This window comes from Homo sapiens, chromosome 1 (assembly GCF_000001405.40).
Source record: "Homo sapiens chromosome 1, GRCh38.p14 Primary Assembly".
Taxonomy (NCBI): domain Eukaryota; kingdom Metazoa; phylum Chordata; class Mammalia; order Primates; family Hominidae; genus Homo; species Homo sapiens.
Genome location: NC_000001.11, coordinates 207,695,854 through 207,716,048, shown reverse-complemented (window position 1 = coordinate 207,716,048; position 20,195 = coordinate 207,695,854). Strand labels below are relative to the sequence as shown.

At 41.6% G+C, this 20,195-nt stretch overlaps 1 protein-coding gene and 2 pseudogenes across 1 annotated transcript in view; 1 reads left to right on the top strand and 2 right to left on the bottom strand.

The window, feature by feature from the left end:
• The window catches only part of CR1L (complement C3b/C4b receptor 1 like), a 78,571-nt gene that overhangs the window by 7,655 nt on the left and 50,721 nt on the right, over positions 1 to 20,195 (bottom strand). Inside the window, exons 6-10 of the mRNA NM_175710.2 lie at positions 18,370 to 18,546; positions 18,176 to 18,278; positions 16,775 to 16,860; positions 14,431 to 14,530; positions 7,786 to 7,871 (exon numbers count right to left, since the gene is read on the bottom strand). Of these exons, the coding sequence (NP_783641.1) occupies positions 7,786 to 7,871; positions 14,431 to 14,530; positions 16,775 to 16,860; positions 18,176 to 18,278; positions 18,370 to 18,546 (552 nt within the window). The remainder of the gene's footprint in view (positions 1 to 7,785; positions 7,872 to 14,430; positions 14,531 to 16,774; positions 16,861 to 18,175; positions 18,279 to 18,369; positions 18,547 to 20,195) is intronic.
• LOC100422434 (complement C3b/C4b receptor 1 (Knops blood group) pseudogene) lies at positions 3,181 to 5,667 on the bottom strand (annotated as a pseudogene).
• RNA5SP534 (RNA, 5S ribosomal pseudogene 534) lies at positions 6,968 to 7,251 on the top strand (annotated as a pseudogene).

Here is a 20,195-nt window from a genome sequence, read left to right as displayed (position 1 = left end):
CAAGCTGACTAAATTGTTTATGATACGTGAGGGGATAAAAGAACATAAGAATTTGGCTGGGTACGGTGGCTCACACTTGTAATCCTAACACTTTTGGAGGCCAAGATGGGAGGATAGCTTGAGCCCAGGAGTTTGAGACCAGCCTGGGCAATATGGCAAGACTCCATCTCTACAAAATATAAAAAATTAGCCAGGTGTGGTGGCATGCACCTGTAGTCCCAACTACTGGGAGGCTGAAGTGGGAGGGTCACTACAGCCCAGGCCATTGAAACTGCAGTGAGCTGTGATTGCACCACTGCATTCTGTCCTGGGTAACTGTCTCAAAAAAGAAAAAAAAAATGTAAGAAAGATTACTCCTTATAAGAAAATTAAAAATAAATGACTGACTAAAATGTGCTGCACTTTTATGTCATTTAGTTTCTTGCCACACATTCCCCACAAAATTAAACAGTCATTAAACTAAGTGATTTACAGATTAGTAACAAATGTCAGAAAAGTCCTACAAGACCCTTCTTGAAATTCTTCCAACAGAGAAGTATTTTAATCAGTAATTTAGTTAAGTAAAGATCCAGACAAGTGATTCCGTGCAGTAAAACACTGGAAAACAAAAATAAGGAGAGCTATCCAAACTACGTAGTTCTTTCTACTCACGTTCACACACTGGAACACTGCTATTCCAAAGGGCTTTCATTCCAGCCAAGACACAATGACTAGCAGACCTGCCTTTTAATCAGAACCTAAAGAAAAAAAAAAGTGGTAGCAAATGTGTGAGCAATTCCCATCTCTCCCTTGATTTCTTCACTAATAGATGCTCAGCTTCCTCACTACCATTTCCTCCTTGACTATCATTTGGGTCTTAGGTTCAGGTCTAGCTAAAAGTCTTAGTTCATTAGGGATCTGAATTCTTCAGTAGCTGACAGAAACTCAAAGGCCAATTTATTCTAAAGAACCATGGTACCCTGTGACTGGCAAAGCAATCAGAGCTGAAGTGCCATATAAACTTCATAGCCCAGCATCACCTACAGAAGGCATGAACACAGAACCAGACTTCTCCATGGGCACAAGAGCCATAACCTTCAGGTGTCATCTTTCATTGATGGCTCTCTGACATCCCACTTATTCTCATTAGTGGGTCATGAGGCAGAACAGCTTTTGATTTGGTAAGCAAAGCCAGGAATATCTGTTCTTCTCGCCACTCCAAATGTAACAGGCCAGAAAGAGGCTCACAGAAGCATGCTGAACCATGTGTTCTAAGAAAAAAAGAAGGGTCAGGGGAGGAGTCTTTGCCACCCTGAAATGCTCAACTTACTATTGAGTACTGCTTCCCTTCTGAAATCTAAAATCGTTCTGAAATTGGAAATCATTATTAGGTGGTGGACTTTGTAAATGCCAAAGAATCCTTGGAAATTATTAAAAATAACTCCTTAATTGCTCAATCTAGTTATCCCCCAGACTCATACTGTATCACCAAGAATAATGGATACACATAAGCAACGAATAATACCACTTGACAGTGGTAGAAGCAGGAGGCAGACAAATCACAGGCAGATGGGGCGGATCCCGGTGAAACCCGACCTTCAAGCTGAAGACAGTTTAAAGCCTAGCTACAAGTTCCAGGTAAATCCATGGACTGGCTTGAGAACCTCTCTTCCTGTTGGGTGTGCTTTCCTCTGATTGATCCCCACTCTTCATCTATTTCACATATACCTGCTCTTCCCTAATTGGTTTTTTGCACTGTTGTGCCCACCTTTGAGTGGTGGCTTTGTTTTAGCCTTTTTTGCATACTCACCAACCAATTAACACACACTTCCAATTCTGAGTCCATAAAGGCTCCAGAACCAGCCACACTGAGAGAATGACCCCCTGACTTCATCTGGGGTCCACCCTTGTGTCTCTTCTCTGCTGAGAAGCTGTTTTGTCACTCAATAAAACTCTTCTCCACCCTCCTCACCCTTCTATTGTCAGCATAAGCTTGTTCTTCTTGGATGCGGGACAAGAACTCAGGACCCACCAAACGCAGGTATGAAGAAGGCTGTAATACAGTGGCTCTTTGCCGTCTCCTAGGGGAGGGAAGTTATTCCATGCAACAGGAAGCACCAGCAGGTCCAGTCAGCCCTGGAGATGCAGGCCAAGTCAGCCTTGGAGATGCAGGCCAAGTCAGCCTTGGAGATGCAGGCCTGAGCGGGGCGATGGAACTGACAGAGTTGTTAACACACCGCCATCTGTTGGGCTGCAGGCATTATCAAATGCTAAGAGCTATTACCATGCTGTTACACCCCCTCTGGGCTTCGGGGTCGTGGGGACCCCTGTTTGGGCACCAACACATTCCCTTCAGTGTGACATGCCTGGTCCAGCCACAAGCCTTGCACGGAGCCCGCTCCTGTGCCAGTGCTTGGCGCGGCCAGCTGGAACCCCCACTTGCTCACTCACACACCCCCTCCCAGAGGCTGAGCATGTAGTCGCGGCAGCCATGGGCTCTGCATCAGAGCACAAGCCTGGCACGGCCTGGGTGGGCCAAGTAGATGAGGTGTCTCCTGCATTGATCCTGGGTAGAGCAAGGCCTGGACAGGGATGTTTCTGGCCAGAGGTCACCAGCTGGCAAAGTGGCTGAGAAAAATCTTGCATCAAAACAATTACACTGGCCATTCTTGACATGAAGATATGTAATTGGGTTAAAACATAGTTATTCATACACTATTACAGATTCCATTATTGACTGGTTTTAAGTTTCCTAAAACAACCTTTGCCTTATTATGAGGCAAACAATTTCCATCTCATTCATCTTTTTTTTCTAGCACACATTTTATAAAATTATGTTCTTTTGCCTCCAAATAAATACGTACCCATTCATTTCAAGTTCCAACTGTGTACCCAAGATCAGTGACTGTATTTAGGTTTGTATCTGATATTGAGTTGTATGTGCCATTTTTTCATTGTTTTCTGAAGGCGGTGCCACTTAGTCCCTACCCTTATTTCAAAACTACCCTTCCATAAATTAATCTCTCTGGGTACTTCTTATCTACTAGGTCAGCTCCTTAATTGGATTAACGCTTATTTCAAAACTACCCTTCCATAAATTAATCTCTCTGGGTACTTCTTATCTACTAGGTCAGCTCCTTAATTGGATTAACTCAGTGATTCTCCACACTGAGTCCTTGGTCTCAACACTGGGTCACACTCACCCTTCATCACAAACAAAGGATACCTTAGCCCCAAGCTGGAGATTAAGTGGAAACAGCACACGGCCATGAGGGAGTTGGCCCAGGAAGTCATCACAGGATTTCACGAGAAGAAAAAATAAAACAACAGGAGTAAGACTTCCATGTGAGGGGGAAAGAGAGGCACCTGTACATCTGGGGGCTTCAGGGGTCCAGTCTCCCTGGGGCATGCAGTGCAGAGACGCAGCCCCTCTGAGGTCATAGCTGGGCTCACAGCTGTAGAACACTTCCTGCCCAGGTAAAAAGTTGTCCTGATGGCTTAGGGTATGCTCACCATGCAGGATTTCTGGAGGCGGCTGACACATTGTAGAAAGGACAGTTCCAGAGTACTTGTTAGTTATGGGGGAATTTCTTTTGCTATATCCTATGCCTGCTGAAGGCCTCATAGTTAGTAAAAGGTAGAGAAATAGAACACAATTCTCCCTAGCACATGGCCCAAAATTCACCTGTAAATCTACAGGGCATGAAGTATTTTCTCCTAGCTCTGGATATCCAGTGTGGAGTTATTAGTATTGGTGGATTCTCCATCTACATATTTCCTAGGGAGGTATTTGTACCATCATTATTCAGGTAATGAGACTGTCACCTGAGACCAAGTCTGTTTTACAGATTTCCCCATATTTCTCTGATTGCACACCAATGACTAAAGTACAGTCATACTGTTTGGGGACAGGCATGCCCCTAAATTGGGGCTTACTCTGGAAGGGTTCTTGCCTCACTCAGGACAGAATTCACGGATGAGCCAGTGGTGCTAGACAGCGATCTTTTAGAAAGGCATTGCCCTTTGCAGAGCAGGGCTAACTCACAGGCAATGTGCCCAGAGTCAGCAACATATGAGCTCCTGGCAGGCAACTGTATTTATACTCCTGTAAGCCCGCTTCAATTACATGTAAATTATTTTTGTTTCTTGTTTTTTGTGTTTTTTTTTTTTTGAGGTGATATCTCACTCTGTCATCCAGGCTGGAGCACAGTCGTGTGATCTTAGCTCACTGCAACCTCCGCGTCCCAGGTTCAAGTGATTCTCCTGCCTCAGCCTCATGAGATTTCAGGTGCGAGCCACCTCACTCAGATAATTTTTGTATTTTTAGTAAAGACAGGGTTTCACCATGTTGGCCAGGCTGGTCTTGAACTCCTGACCTCAGGTGATCTGCCCATCTTGGCCTCCCAAAGTGCTGGGATTACAGGCATGGGCCACCATGCCCAGCCAATTACAGGTAAGTTAAGGGGCACATCAATGCAAATTGAGGGGCGTGTTATTTAGAACTTTCCTGGAAAGGGGTGGTAACTTCCAGATCGTTGCCATGGCATTTGTAAACTGTCACAGTGCTGATGGGAATATGAGGGCAGCTAGTGATTGCTTTCATCGCCATCTGCCTGTTGCTGCTGTTTTTTCACTTCATCCTGTCTAGGCCAGATTCTGTTTTGGTCAGCAGGATTGTGACCAGAACACAAGCCCTGCCCATCTCCTGCCTCGGTACATCCGTCTTTATATCCCTTTATCTGTTTGTCTTCCCAGCTCAGTGGTTGCACAAGGCTAACATGGGTTGGTAGAAGAATTGTAAGCTCTTTCTCTGTCCCTATGTATCTGCCATAACACCTCCCACTCCGCTGCTAAGCCAGCTATTGTGGCATCAGTAGACAAGATGAGCCATCAAAAACACAAGCCCTTAAATAAGACAGTGTTGTTTTAAATAATAAATGAGATAATGTATACAAAGTGCTTAGGGCACAGCTGACCATAAAGTCCATATAATTTTTCAATATAATTGAGAGAGATTGCAGCTGGTACTTTGCCCTGACAATTGATTAATAGGTGAGTCCAAAATACCAGTTTTCTTGGCTAATTAAGGTCTTGCTTTTCAAAATGAAGACACATATGCATGAGTGCTTGCACACCCCAGATTCTTAATTTCATGCTTCTTCCCCCAAAACTTACTTTCCCACCCTCCTCAACATACATCCCTCCCCCTAAACAAATACTCATCTCCTGATCCAACAGCAATGCATGTCACTTGCAGGGCCCTTCTAGGCCTCAGGCAAACACACCCCTGGAGCAGCTTGGTAGCTCCGGCTCCCATTTGTTCAGGGCCTGGCATTGCACACGGTGCGGGGGGTCCTTTCATGACAAAGCCAGGCTGACACCTAAACTCCACAACTTCATTTAAGGAAAATAAGCTTCTGTTGTCAGACACCAATATTCCATTTTCCACATTTGGAGGTGTGCATTTGTTAGGTATAATGCACTGAGGGACTGGGCCGCTCCAGACGACCACTTGATCATCTTTGCTGGTGCAGTATATGGAGGGCTCACCCACGAGCTCAAACACCTTTCTCCCTCTGCTTCCAAGATTGCAGTGGTAGGTCACCACTGATCCATAGTGAAAATACTCTCTGTCGGTGCTAATGAAATATCCATTGGTGATGTTGGGGGGTAGCCCACAAGGAATTCCTGGGAAAAGAGACCGCAAGTTCACCAAAACAAAACCTTGGGACAGAGTCTTGCTCTGTCGCCCAGGCTGGAGTGCAGTGGCACGATCATGGCTCACTGCAATCTCAACTTCCCAGGTCAAGCAATCCTCCCCCCTCAACCTCCCGAGTAGCTGGGATTACAGGCACGCACCACCGTATCTGGTTTATTTTTGTATTTCTGGTGGAGTTGGGGTTTGGTCATGTTGGCCATGCTGGTCTTGAACTCCTGGCCTCAAGCAATCCACCTGCCTCTGCCTTCCAAATGCTGAGATTACAGGCGTGAGCCATCGTGCCCGGCATGGTTTCTTAAAATTATACTTTATTGTAAATTATGCTAATAGCTTTTCTGAAATCCCAAATTACCGGAAGTAAATATTCACAATATCATTCTCATCTAATATTTACTAATGTACAGATATATTCTTACAATTTTATAATATTGTGAGTTGTGCTCTTCGTAGTTAACATTACTTTGCTAAATGTGTCCATATATTATTATAGAGCATTTTTTTCCTTTTTTTTTTTTTTTGAGACAGAGTCTCTGTTGCCCAGGCTGGAGTGCAGTATCATGATCTTGGCTCACTGCAACCTTCCTTTCCTGGCCTCAAATGATTCTCCTGCTGCAGCCTCCCAAGTAGCTGGGATTACAGACATGCACGACCATGCTCAGCTAACTTCTGTATTTCTAGTAGAGATGGGGTAGCACCATGTTGGCCAGGCTGGTCTTGAACTCCTGACCTCAAGTGATCCACCTACCTTGGGCCTCCCAATGTACTGGAATTACAGGTGTGAGCCACTGTGCCTGGCCTATAGTACACATTTATATTTCTCCTGCTAAATGAGAATTTAACTATGTTATCTCACCATTATTAATTTAGTTCTCTCTATATAGAAGGCATGTGTCTTTATTCTATTGGATATTAATATAATAAAGCATACAGCATAGCATTTTTTTTGAGACAAGGTCTTGCTCTGCTGCCCAGGCTGGAGTGCAGTGGCACGATCATGGCTCATTGCAGCCTTGACCTCTCTGGCTCAAGCAATCCTCCCACCTCTCAGTCTCCCGAATAGTTGGGACTACAGGCGTGTGCCAGTATGCCCATTTAATTTTTGTATTTTTTGTAGAGACAGGGTTTCACCATGTTGTACAGGCTGGTCTCGACCTCCTGGGCTCAAGCGATCTGCTCACCTAGGACTCCCAAAGTGCTGGGATTACAGGTGTGAGCCACCACACCTGGCCCAGTATAACATCTTTATTAAATAATAAGAACAAAAGCTCTGGCAGAACTAATAAAGACAAAGCAAACACAAATATACAATATTACATATAATAAACATGATACTTACAGATTCAGAAGTAATACAAATAACTGGATACTGATCTACAGCCATACCACCCTGAATGCACCCAATTTCATCTGATCTTGGAAGAACTGAATACTGTGTCCTACTCTACTGTAGGGCAGTGCCCAGCCAGTATATTGCCCTTCTACAAAGTTTGTTCCCACTTATTCTCCCACCAGATGGGTTTGAAATTGCTGATTTCCTCACACCATCACTAAACCCAGGATTATACACATTTTATATTCCTTATTAGCTTGCAATTGCTCATTCCTCTTTGCTCCCCAAAATGTAGAAAGCTCATCTTCCAAACAACTCACAGGGAAGATGGCATGATCCTGTTTAGACAAAGAATAAGAAGGAAGAAAGAGCTGCATGGCTTGAATATCTGATGTGATACTAACAGCTTGCAGAGAGGATATGCGGTTTCTTTCACTGACTTTGTATTTGTTGACTTCACCAAAGAAAATGCTCTTCAAACTGGGAGGTGTTCACCCAACAGAGGATGAAATTGGGGGCTATTTAAATTAGCTCAAGACTAGTTTAAAATAAATTACACCTTAAGATAAGAAAAAAAGCATTTCTAGGTGAAGGTGGAAGTTTGGAATGCTGTGAGCCATTTTAAGGATATGACTGGATTCTTCAAATATCAGAAGGATACCATTTCCAAGAGGGATGAGATTCATTCTTTGTAATTCTAGGAGGACAACTCTAGGGTTAAATGGTGGGGTGAATGGGGAAAGAGATTTCAACTCACGTTGACAAATTGGTGGCTTCATGCTCCAATGGGCAGTATTGCCCGAGAGGATACATTCAGCAGATGAGTGACCAATGAGTCGGTGCCTAAAGGCAAAAAATGGAAAATAATTGTGCTGTACATACCTCATCAACTTCCTGACAGCATGCATATGTGGCAAACCAGAGGGATTACAATATAGGAGAAGTCTAAGGCCTAGCCTAAACTTTACCTATTGTTCCCAGCTTTTCTACTTCTTTTTCTGCTCTCACTATTGAAAAGAGATATTTCTGCTCTAACTTCTCCTGGTCCACTTTACTTCTTAATATCTTGACTTCATTGTGGACTGTACCTGGCACCAAAATAAAACAATCATTTTGTAGACCTGCTTGACAATTTCTTTCTTAAGTTCTGTCTTTTCCCATATTATTTCTGCCATTTTTTGTTTGCGTATTCCCTTAATATGTGTGTGTGTGTGTGTGTGTGTGTGTGTGTGTGTAATACTATGCCATTTAACTTGAGGCATGTTTTTTATAAATACAAGATTTGTTGCTTTTGATCCTGTCTAGTAGACTTGGTTTTTTGACAAGAAGTTTAAACCAAATGGATTGAAATAAATTATATATTTGATTTGCTTTGTTTGTTTGTTTGTTTTTTTAGACGGAGTCTGGCTCTGTCGCTCAGGCTGGAGTGCAATGGTGCAATATCTGCTCACTGCAACCTCTGCCTCCCGAGTTCAAGCAATTCTCCTGACTCATCCTCCTGAGTGGCTGGGATTACAGGCATGCACCAACATGCCCAGCTAATTTTTGTATTTTTAGTAGAGATGGTGTTTCACCACTTTGGCCAGACTGGTCTTGAACTCCTGATCTGAGGTGACCCTCCCACCTCGGCCTCCCAAAGTGCTGGGACTACAGGCGTGAGCCACTGTGCTCGGCCTTGTCATAATTCTTTCACTACCTTTTTCATGATTTCACGATGTCCCATGATGAGGATGAGGAGAAAGCAATGAATAAAATGACCTGACCCAAACATGATGGGGCTTATTTCCGATGACAGAGACAAATGCATTCCTTGCTATTCTTTTTCCTTCCCTCCCCTTACTATATGGAACAGATAGATTCAGCTGTTTTAGTTATTCTAATAATTTGGAAATTAAACTTAATATTTTTTCCAATTAGGAATTTAATTTTATATGTGTGCATGTATATTGTAGATATATACACTTGATACATATATTTAAACCTATTTTCTCAATTTCAGAGTCAAATTCTGTACAGTCAGTCTACTCATCTTTTCTGTAAGTCTAGCCTACCTTTTCCTGCTTTCTCACATTTTCTACTTCTATTGATATATTCTATGACTTCACAGAGATTATTACTAAATTATGATTACATTGCCAGTTTTTGTGTTTATGGTTTTTTGTTGTTGTTGTTTGTTTTTACCACTTTTCTATCTCATTGAGATTTCTTTAGGAATTCATCATTCTCCTTTTTAAAAATTTGCTTATTAATTGCCTGGGAAACATACTTAAATGGTACAATTTTTGTGTCTTTGCTTATTCTTTAATGTGTATCTGGAGCCTCTAGATGTGAATATTAGCTTGGCTCAACAGAAGTGCTATCTTCTACAATTTAGTGTTGTGTAGAATCAATGTGGTGTCAATAAATTTATTTCTTTTGCGGGTATTACATTTTCACATTTTATTTCTGGAATCTGAGTTTTTTTCTCTATCCCTGAAACACAGAAATTTCCCTAGTGATGGCTAGGTATGGGCTTATTTGCTTACCCTTCTGGAATTTTTTTAATACATAATTTGAATCCTGACACTGTCTTACATACGTCTTCTCTTTTTCTTTTTTTTTAGACAAGGTGTCATTCTGTCATCCAGGCTGGAGTGCAGGGGTGCCATCACGGCTCACTGAAGCCTCAGCCTCTCGGGCTGAGGTGATCCTTTCACCTCAGTCTCCTGTGTAGCTGTGACTACAGGCACACGCCACCACGCCCAGCTAATTTTTATACTTTTTTGTAGAGATGGGGTTTTGCCTTATTGCCCAGGCTGGTCTCGAGGTCCTGGGGTCAAGTGATTCTCTTGCTTCGGCCTCTCAGTGTTGGGATTACAGGTGTGAGCCACTGTGCCCACCTATCTTCTCCTTTTCATCTTTTCCCACTGCATTGAGGGAAAATTTGGTTAACTCTTCTTACTCTTTGCTTTAATTTTCTGCAATATTCAGTGTTTTATATATATATATATATATATATATATATATACATACACACACACATATATATGACACATATATGAAATGAAATATATAAACACACTGACTACATATATTCATTCGTGTGCAAACTTCATGGCTAGTTTCACAGAATTATTTGTACAACTGAGTCTTGTTAAAAATAGGAAAAGGAGAGTGTTCTGAAAGTTTTCCTGGTTTCCTGGCAGTAAATCTCTTTTGTAAAATTTCTCCTGATTTTTTAAAATTGGTCTCTTTTACATGTATTTCCTGTTTTTTGTCATAAGCTCAATGGTTTTCTGCCTCATGCCGCAGGGAGGTTCGCACTTATTCCACAATGCAAGATGAGGAAGGAACAGTTAGGAAATTTATCAATTGTATTTTTAAAAATGCTCAAAAAAGAAAAGAGGACTTTGGATTTATTCCAATTTTATTTTGTCAGATTCTAGGTGCTATGGTCTCTGAAGCCTAGGCTGGCAAATATGCTGGACACCACAAGCTTCCTTTCTGTGTTTGTTGCGGTGGCACAAACATAGCCCCTACTCACTACCTGGCTTAGCTGTTCCCGTGAAGAGTGAGATTGAGGCAGAGCCTCCACTGTGTGCTGAGCAAGGGTGAGCACCAACAGCTGGACCATGCGCTGTGAGCACCTGACACTTGACATTTTCAAAGGGACTCTGTTATAGGTTGAATTGTGTCTCCCCCAAATATGTTGGGAAGTCTTAACCCCCAGTCCCTGTGGATGTGACCTTATTTGGAAATACAATCTTTGCAGATGCAATCCAGTTAAGCTGAGGTCATTAAGGTAGGCCCTAATCCAATATGCCCGGTGTCCTTATAAAAAGAGAAAACTTTGGACACAGACATGAACAGAGAGGAGAACAGCATATGAGGACACAGACCCAGAGGGAAGATGGCCATCTGAGGACAGCAACAGAAGAAATTGGAGTTCTGCTGCCACACTCCAAGGAAGGCCTGGGGCTCCAGAAGCTGGAAGACGCAATGAAGGATCCTACCCTACAGGATTCAGAGGGAGCATGGTCTTCCCAACACCTTGATTTTGGACTTCCAGTCTATAGAACAGAACTCCAAAAACTTCTGTTGTATTAAGCCACCCATTTTGTGTTACAGACATTCCTCAAAGATATTGCAGGTTCAGTTCCAGAACACCACAATAAAACAAATATCACAACAAACCAAGTCATATGAATTTTTTGATTTTTCAGTGAGTCTAAAAGTTGTGTTTGTAATATACTATAGTCTATTAAGTGTGAAATAGAATTATGTGAAAAAAAGGTCATACTTTAAAAAATGGTTTATTGGTAAAAAATGCTAAAGATTATCTGACCTTCAATAAGTCACAATCTTTTTGCTGGTGGAGGGTCTTGCCTCAAGGTTGATGGCTGCTGACTGATCAGGGTGGTGGTTGCTGAAAGCTGGGGTGGCTGTGGCTATTTCTTAATCTAAGACAACAATAAAACTGGCCACATTGACTCTTCCTTTCACAAAAGATTTTGCTGTAGCATGCAATGCTGTTTGATAACATTTTACCCTCTGAACTGCTTTCAAAATTGGAGTCAATCCTCCCAGATACTGCTGCTGCTTTATCAACTTAGTTTATGTAATATTCTAAATTTGTGGTCATTTTAACAATGCTCATGGCATCTTCACCAGGAAGAGACTCCACCTCAAAAATCTACTTTCTCTGCTCATCCATAAGAAGTAACTCCTCTTCTGTTCAAGTTTGATCATGATATTGTAGCAATACAGTCACACCTTTAGGCTCTGCTTCTAATTGTAGTGTTCTTGCTACTTCTGTCACATCTGCAATTATTTCCTCCGCTGAAGTCTTGAACCTCTCAAAGTCATCCATGAGGGTCGGAATCAACTTCTACCAAACTCCTGTTAATGTTGATATTTTAACCTCTTCCCATGAATCATGAGTGTTCTTAACAGTATGTAGAATGATTAATTCTTTCCTGCAGTTTTCAACTTACTTTGTTCAGATCCATCAGAGGAATTACTGTCTGTGGGAACTATAGCCTTACAAAATGTATTTTTTTTTCCTTTTCTTTTCTTTTTCTTTTTTTTGAGTTGAAGTCTCCCTCTATTGCCCAACCTGGAGTGCGGTGACGCAATCTCGGCTCACTGGAACTTTCACCTCCTGGGTTCAGGTGATTCTCCTGCCTCAGCCTCCTGAGTAGTTGGGACTACAGGCACATTCTGCCATGCTGGCCAATTTTTGTATTTTTAATAGAGACGGGGTTTCACTATGTTGGCCAGGCTGGTCTTGAAATCCTGACCTCATGATCCGCCCACCTTGGTCTCCCAATATGCTGGGATTACACCATGCCTGGCACAAAATATATTTCTTAAATACTAAAACTTCAAAGTCAAAATTACTGCTCAGCCATGGGCTGCAGAATGGCTGCTGTTGTCAGCAGGCAGGAAAACTACATGCATCTCCTTGTCCATCTCCATCAGAGCTCTTGCCTGATTGGATACAAAGTCAATGAGCTGTATGTAACATTTTGAAAGGAATCTGTTTTTCTGAGCACTATATCTCAACAGTGAGCCTAAAATATTCAGTAAACCATGCTGCAAACATACCTCTGTCATCAGACTTTGTTGTTCCATTTATAGACACAGGCAAGGTACATTTAGCATAATTCTTAAGGGCCCTAGGGCTTTTAGAATGGTCAGTGAGCATTGGCTTCAACTCAAACTCACCAACGAGATTAGCTCCTAAAAAGGCAGCCTATCCTTTGAAGCTTTGAACCCAGGCATTGGCTTCTCCTCTCTAGCTATGAAGGTCCAATAGATGGCTGTTTTGTCTACATGGAGAATCTGCTATTTATTTTAACACCTTCATCAATGATCTTAGTTAGATCATCAGGACAACTTGCTGCAGCTTCTATGTCAGCACTTGTTGCTTCACCTTGCACCTTTATGTTATGGAGATGACTTCTTTCCTTAAACCTCAGGAATCACCCAACCTGGAGTGCAGTGGCACAATCTCGGCAACTTCTGCTTCCCGGGTTCAAGTTATTCTCATGCCTCAGACTCCCGAGTAGCTGGAACTACAGGCAACCCGCCACAACGCCTGGTTAATTTTTGCATTTTCAGTAGATATGAGGTTTCACCATATTGGTCAGGCTGGTCTTGAACACCTGACCTCAGGTGATCCACCTGCCTCTGCCTCCCAAAGTGCTGGAATTACAGGCATGAGCCACAGTGCCCAGCTGCTTCCAGCTTTTTTTCTGCAGCTTCCTCACCTCTGTCAGCCTTCACAGAATTGAAGAGAGTTAGGGCCTTGCTCAGGATTAGGCTTTAGCTTAAGGAAATATGTCTAGTTTGATCTTGTATCTAGACCACTAAAACTTCTTCCATATCAGCAATAAGGCTGTTTCACCTTCTTATCATTCATGTGTTCACTGGAATAGCACTTTAAGTTTCCTTCAAGTACTTTTGCTTTGCCTTTGCAACTCGCTAGCTGTTTGGCACATGAGGCCTGACTTTTGGCCTGTCTTGGCTTTCAACATATCTTCCTCACTAAGCTTAATCATCTCCAGCTTTTGATTTAAAGTAAGAGATGCATGACTCCTCCCTTCATGTCAACACTTAAAGGCCATTGTAGGGCTATTAATTGGCCTCATTTTAGTATTATTGTGTTCAGGGATTAGGGAGTCCTGAAGAGAGGGAGAGAGAAGGGGAATGTCTTGTCCATGGAGCAGTCAAAGCATGCACATTTATTAAGTTTTCTGTCTTATATGGGTGCAGTTCGTAGGGACTCCAAACAATGAAAATAGTAACATCAAAGATCACTGAAGACAGATCACTATCACAGACATGATAATAATGAAAACCTCTGGGATATTGTGAGAATAACCAAAATGCTACACAGAGACACGAAGTCAACACACACTGTTGGATAAATGATGCCAACTGACATGCTTGTTGCAGCGTTGCCACAAGCCTTCAATTTGTAAAAAGCATAACATCTGTGAAGTACAATAAAATGAGGAAGGCCTGTACTTTTTGATGGCAGCCCTAGCAAGCGATCATGCTGTTATCATTAAGATTTGTTCTCTCACACAGCTGCTACATGCCCTTCCCTTTCTTCCAGCAATGTCTACTCTGGGTTAGGGTTGTTTGTGTGCTTTGACTACTATACTCCTAATTTTTTTTCCTTCCCATCCAGTGAACGGCATACTCTTTATGTGTGCACTGCCCTGGTTTCCAGCAAGGACACAGATTTTTCCCCTAATCTTCTCCTATCTTTGTTCATTTCAATCAGGAGTTAATACCTGTGTTCAAACCTCTCAAGAGCAGGTGGCAACAGCCTAGTTTCCTTCCTGAGATGTGGCTAGAAGGTAGTATTGCTGTGCTGGAACTCTGGAACCAAGAGATGTTGCTGCCAACTCACCCTGTAGTACAAGAATAGTTGATTCTGGATCCAACATGGATGTCTGTGATCACATGCACCATGCCATTCACTGGAACTGGAGGAGTTTCACATGATTTACCTGTGGGAAAGAAAATGTTTTGGAGCCAGGTAGAGTAATCTGAACTCTCTTCAGTACGTAAGGTCTCAACCTGCATGTAGCTTCCTGAAGAAAACACGCAGTTCTGATAGTTCCACAGATTTTGGCACCTTGAGAAAACTCATCAGAGAGCCTCAGGATCAGCCACCTACTAAGCCCCACTTTCAAAAAGACCTTCCCTCCAGATCTATCTAGATCTAGATTTAGATCTGTGTAGAGACCTTGCATCCCTTATCAAAATGTAAAGGTCATTTATGGCATTATTTACTACCAATAAAGTTTTCAAAGGATTTCTTCCCACCTAGTTATTCAAACAGAATTTGTCTTCCTACACAATCTTTATTTCCTGATATAGAGTCATTTATTATTTATTTTCCCATAAGGAATGAAGATTTTCTCTACAAATATTCCTTGAAACATTCTCATGAAGTGAGCATTTCAAGCAATAATCAAAGACGACCTGCAAGAAAAACTCTTACATCCACCTATCTGAACGCTTTTGAAAAAAGGTTTCTCTTATCCCACAATTGAAAAAATTCAATAAGAAGCTTTTGCAGACATGGGAAAGATCCAGTGCAAGTTTACTTACTTTACAACTTTAATGAAGTAGCAAAACATTTGAAGAAGAAAAATAACCGTTTTGAAGGGTTACTCATTCATTTAGTCAATCTTTCTTAATTTAGCACTTATCCTGTGTCAGCCACTCATCAGGATCCTGGGGACACAGTGCTGAGGAAGGGGCCTACGTTCTTGGGAAATATTTCTCAAATGTATATATGTGTGCTAATCATCTTAAATAGGTGAAAACTTTCACTGATTACTTACTGATATTGATCATCAGTCTCAGTGATAACAATAGCCCTGCCACAGTGAATTGAAACATATTCAGGCCATTATAAAAAACTCCAAATGGATTCAGATTGCTTTGCTTTTGAAAATGTCAAGGTCTGTTGATGATTTATTTTCTTTTTTTACTTTCTGGGTCAGGTTTCAAGTTGTTACTCCTTTCTAGCATCTACTGATTTGTTTATAATAGTCTCTTCCTCATTTCTAATTGGCATTTTTCATTAGAACTGGCATTTGGAAGAAGTTATTTTAACTACCAGAGTTATGAAAAATAAGAGAAAGCTTGAGTAGTCCAATCAATGAGCTTTCATGCATGATAGTAGAACAGACATTTGTCATGCTGCCTCAAGGAGCACTGGATTTCTTAGACAGCAAGCATCTCTATATAAGTTATGTTCTTCCAAAATTTTACTCTAAAAAGCACTGTAAGATGTCCAAGTACATTTCTAAGAACATAAACATTTTAGTAAAATTTCATGGTTTTCTAAAGAAACATGTTTTCCAATCATTAGAATCAAGAAATGAAGCAAAGTTCTATCTTCTATTGGGGAAATTATAAATGGGTAGACTAGGAGAAATCAGTAGTCTACTGATTATTGAACATATGAGGCTCATTTTAAAAAAATGACTTATTATTTATGAATCTCTCAGCATAAATTATTTAGGTACATATTTTGAGAATTTATGGAGTCTCAAACTGCTCACCCTGTCTAATGTTACTCCCCACTTTTCCCTCATTCTTCATTGCTTTGATCTATTATCCGTAGCATTTAATTTGCTTATTTTTTTCCTTGTCCTTCTCCCTACCTGAGTAAAAACAACATGGGGACAGGGACTTCACTCATCTTGTTCATTGCTATAACTCCAGTATCTAGATGAACAGAGGCACAAAGTATGTGATCAATAAATAATTGATTAAATAAAGGCATGTTTGATACTTGAGTATTATCAAATATATACACAAATTGTAGACTGACTGCACATTGATTGGAGAACAAAATGAAAAAGAAGGAAGGAGAGAGGGAGAGAAGAAGGGAAAAAAGAACTGAAGGAAGGAAAGAAGAGAAGAAAGAAAAGAAGTAGAGAAAGAAAGCAAATTGTAAAAGCTTCACATTATCTAATCTCTCCTGACCTAGAAGCACACGACCATAGGATTTATCGCAATAGAACATAGAATACAAAATGACAGAGACAGATCAGATAGTTCCAAAGACAGGTGATGTACACATTGATTCACAACCAAACATTACTAAAATAAGAAATTTTCAAATCAATAATTCAGATTAGAAAATTGAAGAACCACATTAGGGGAGGTCATGGGTCAAATACTGAACAGATGAAGGGGAGAGATTGGCCTGAAATGTTACTCCTATTACTTACGTTCACACACTGGAACACTGCTATTCCAAAGGCTTTCCATTCCAGCCAAAACACAGTAACTAGCAGAGCTGCCTTTTAATTGAAATCTAAAGAAGAAAATAGGAGTGAATAGCGAGCTGTTTCAGCCAAGAGGACACTTAGTTCACAATCTAAGGCCCAGCCCCAATTTCAGGATTTTGAGGACCTGAGGCCAGCAGGTGGCAGAGTTGCACAGGCTACGTTATTCTGGAAAAATCACAGCCTCCAGAAGGGAGCAATATAGAGTGGCAAAATGCAGTAGCTTGGTCACATGATAGTCCTGCTTGAATTGAAAAAGGTGGTCACAAAATAGCCACCATCTCCTTGACCCAGGACCCAGGCTTGGAGTTTCACTGATTACTCATTGTCATTATTAGAAACCCAGTCTTCTAATGCAATGCCTTCGTAACTCTGACCCTGGAACAGCAAGTAAAACAGCTCCCAGTTTGGAGTGGTAAAGTGGGAAATAGCTGGCGAGAGAACAGAGATTGTCCTTTCATCTCCACATCTGTGATGGCGTGAAGAAGGCTCAAAAGGGCAATTTGGGCTGCTGAAGAGTAAGCACGAATATTCTAGGGGAAAAAGGAAAGAAGAGAGGACATAATTTTTGTACGCAATTGTTGAAAATTCTCAATGTCTGTTGGGCCCCGATGCCCTCCTAACTCTTACTGGGTGCTGGCTTTTGGAGCCTGCCAAGATTCTGTGTTACATTTTGGGATCAGGTGCTTTGTTGCCCATGCTGGTCAGCTCCCGTGTAGAGATGTGCACCCTGTGAAGAGCACTAGGTGGACATAAACAAGGTAATGACCTTGCTGGAAATATTAACAGCAGCCATCAGAACCCCAGCTCAGAGCCCAGAGCCCATGACTAGCCAGACGATATATGACTGGATTTTTTTAAAATGCTGATTTTTACACTTTCAGTCCTATTACAAATTTCATTACTGATGGTTTAAAGAATTTACTGAAATGATTCTTAAATGATCCTAGCTCTTTAGAATAAGTTTTTTGTTACTTGCAATTTTTTCTGAGACTCTTAAATTACTCATATTCTATTTGCTGTTTTGAAATTCTAAAATTTTGAAAATAGGATTTTTTAAACTTACTGTGTTACCTATATATTAATAACAAGTAATTATACTTGTCTTTGAATTTGCCAGTTAATATATGGCCCAGTGTCCTCTTCATATCTCATGTTATTAGTTCCATATGTGTCTTTCCTTTCTTCCTATATATACTTTCAAAAGTTCATCTCTCTGATTGTGTGTGTGTGTGTGTGTGTCTGTCTGTCTGTCTTTTTTTAAGCCACATCAAATCTCCCCTTTTTGGACTAATTCCTAACCCCAATTTCAATGTCCAGCAGGTCAGGCAAGCTCATACTCACCCTTCATCACAAACAAAATCCACTTTTGCTCCAAGCTGGAGATTAAGTGGAAATAGCACATGGCCATTAGGAAGTTGGCCCAGGAAGTCATCACAGGATTTCACTGGAAAAAAAGAAAAACGAACAGAAATAACTGGCATGTGGAGAATAAAGACGCAAGCTAAAAATACCAAGCCAGATAAGAGTCTAGTCACCTTCACATCTGGGGGCTGCAGGGCTCCAGTCTCCCTGGGGTGTGCAGTGCAAATACGTAGATCCTCTGAGGTCGTAGCCGGGCTCACAGCTGTAGAACACTTCCTGCCCGGGTGAAAAGTTGTCCTTGTCCCTTTGGGTACGCTCAGCATGCAGGACATCTGGAGGTGGCTGACATACTGGGGAGAGAGAAACAAAGTACTGCTAATTGTGTGAAAATAACTTTTCTCTCACTGTTAAACTGGCCAAGGGAATAATAATTACAAATCTATATGTAACAAAAAAGGTAGAATAACAGCCTTATTACATTGATAACAAACTAAATACACAGGGCGAGGAAGATGTCTTGCCATCACTCATAGAACTGACACATTGCACAACTGTGACTAAAACAGAGGTATCCCCAATTCATTGTTTTACATCTAAAGTATGCAACTAAGATTTCACAATGGACAGTTCCTTCTAGAATGCTTCCAATTACTGTTCACCCAGTACAAAATTGGGAGGGATGATGGATTTTTATATCTCCATGCTTCCTTTCTAGAAAGGCATCACCAATTTCGTCTTGCATTTTAGGCCATAAAGGAGTGCCCCTGCCCATGTCTCATCTAATAGGTCCCTCCATCACCTATCACACTGGTGCAACAAACATACATCTATTCTCTTCTCCTTTCAAGTCTTCTCTCAGCGGCCACCTGACATAGGGTGGTAAAGAACTATGGGTCTCCTCCCTTCATGCTATGCAGCAAGGTGCTGCCTAGTCATTCATTTCACTCCAGTGAGAAGGTGGGCAACTGTCGAACAAAATCTAAAAGACCTACTGTCACCATAATGAGAGTGTCTATTTCACACAACATATTGTAAGGGCAGCGCTGGCTCTCTCTTAATATAGTTGATCGGAACTCAGGAAGTCAGAACACATTTAGGTCTCAACTAAATTATATAAAACTGTTATAAAATGGAAAAAATAATTTCAGTTTGTCTTTGAGCAGATCAGTTCCCTTTTCTGGACTTCAGCTTTCTCAAGCATCAAATGGGGGATTGGACTAGAAAAATGACTTCTTTAGGGAGTTTGTAAATACTCTGATGCTGTAATGTCCATTTTCAGGGCTCATCACCCAGTGTTTCCCTTGACTAATCAATGCCTGGTGATGTAATATTGAGGTGCTGTGCTGGTTAAATTTCTGTTGGCCCCTAGCCTCACACTTCTGCACTGTCTTTTGGCTGCTAGCAATGGAAACCTTAAAACTATAATCATTTGTCTTCCTTGATAGCTGGGCTCTGGTTAGGTTCTTCCAGTTGGAGGCATATATACCAAATTAAAAAGCAGGATGATGGCAGAGTCTGTTCTACTTCTAGAGGTGGCTCAGGCAGTGGCAGTATAGATGACTTCAGTGAGCAGCTACAGCTTCAATTCTAGCGATGCCAATGACTTTGGCTCCAGCAATATCAGCTGCATTCTGGCAGCTGTGGTGGCTCCTGCAGCATTAGCAGCTTTCAGGGAGCTGCCTGCTCAGTGGGAGGGGCTGGCCACTTGAGCATCCCTCCAGGCTCCTGTGCTGTGTAGACTGGGAGCCACAGCAGCTCCCTGATCTCTGGTAACTCTGCCTTCGTCCTATTGCTAGGGAGGCTGCCTGATTTTCCTGCCCTTCTAACATCTTTGTGACCTATTAGCTGTGATATGGTTTGTCTCTGTGTCCCCACCCAAATCTCATGTCAAATTGTAATTCCCAGTGTTGGAGGAGGAGCCTAGTGGGAAGTGACTGGATCATGGGGGTGGTTTCTAATGGTTTATCACCATCACCCTAGTGCTGTATTGTGATATAGT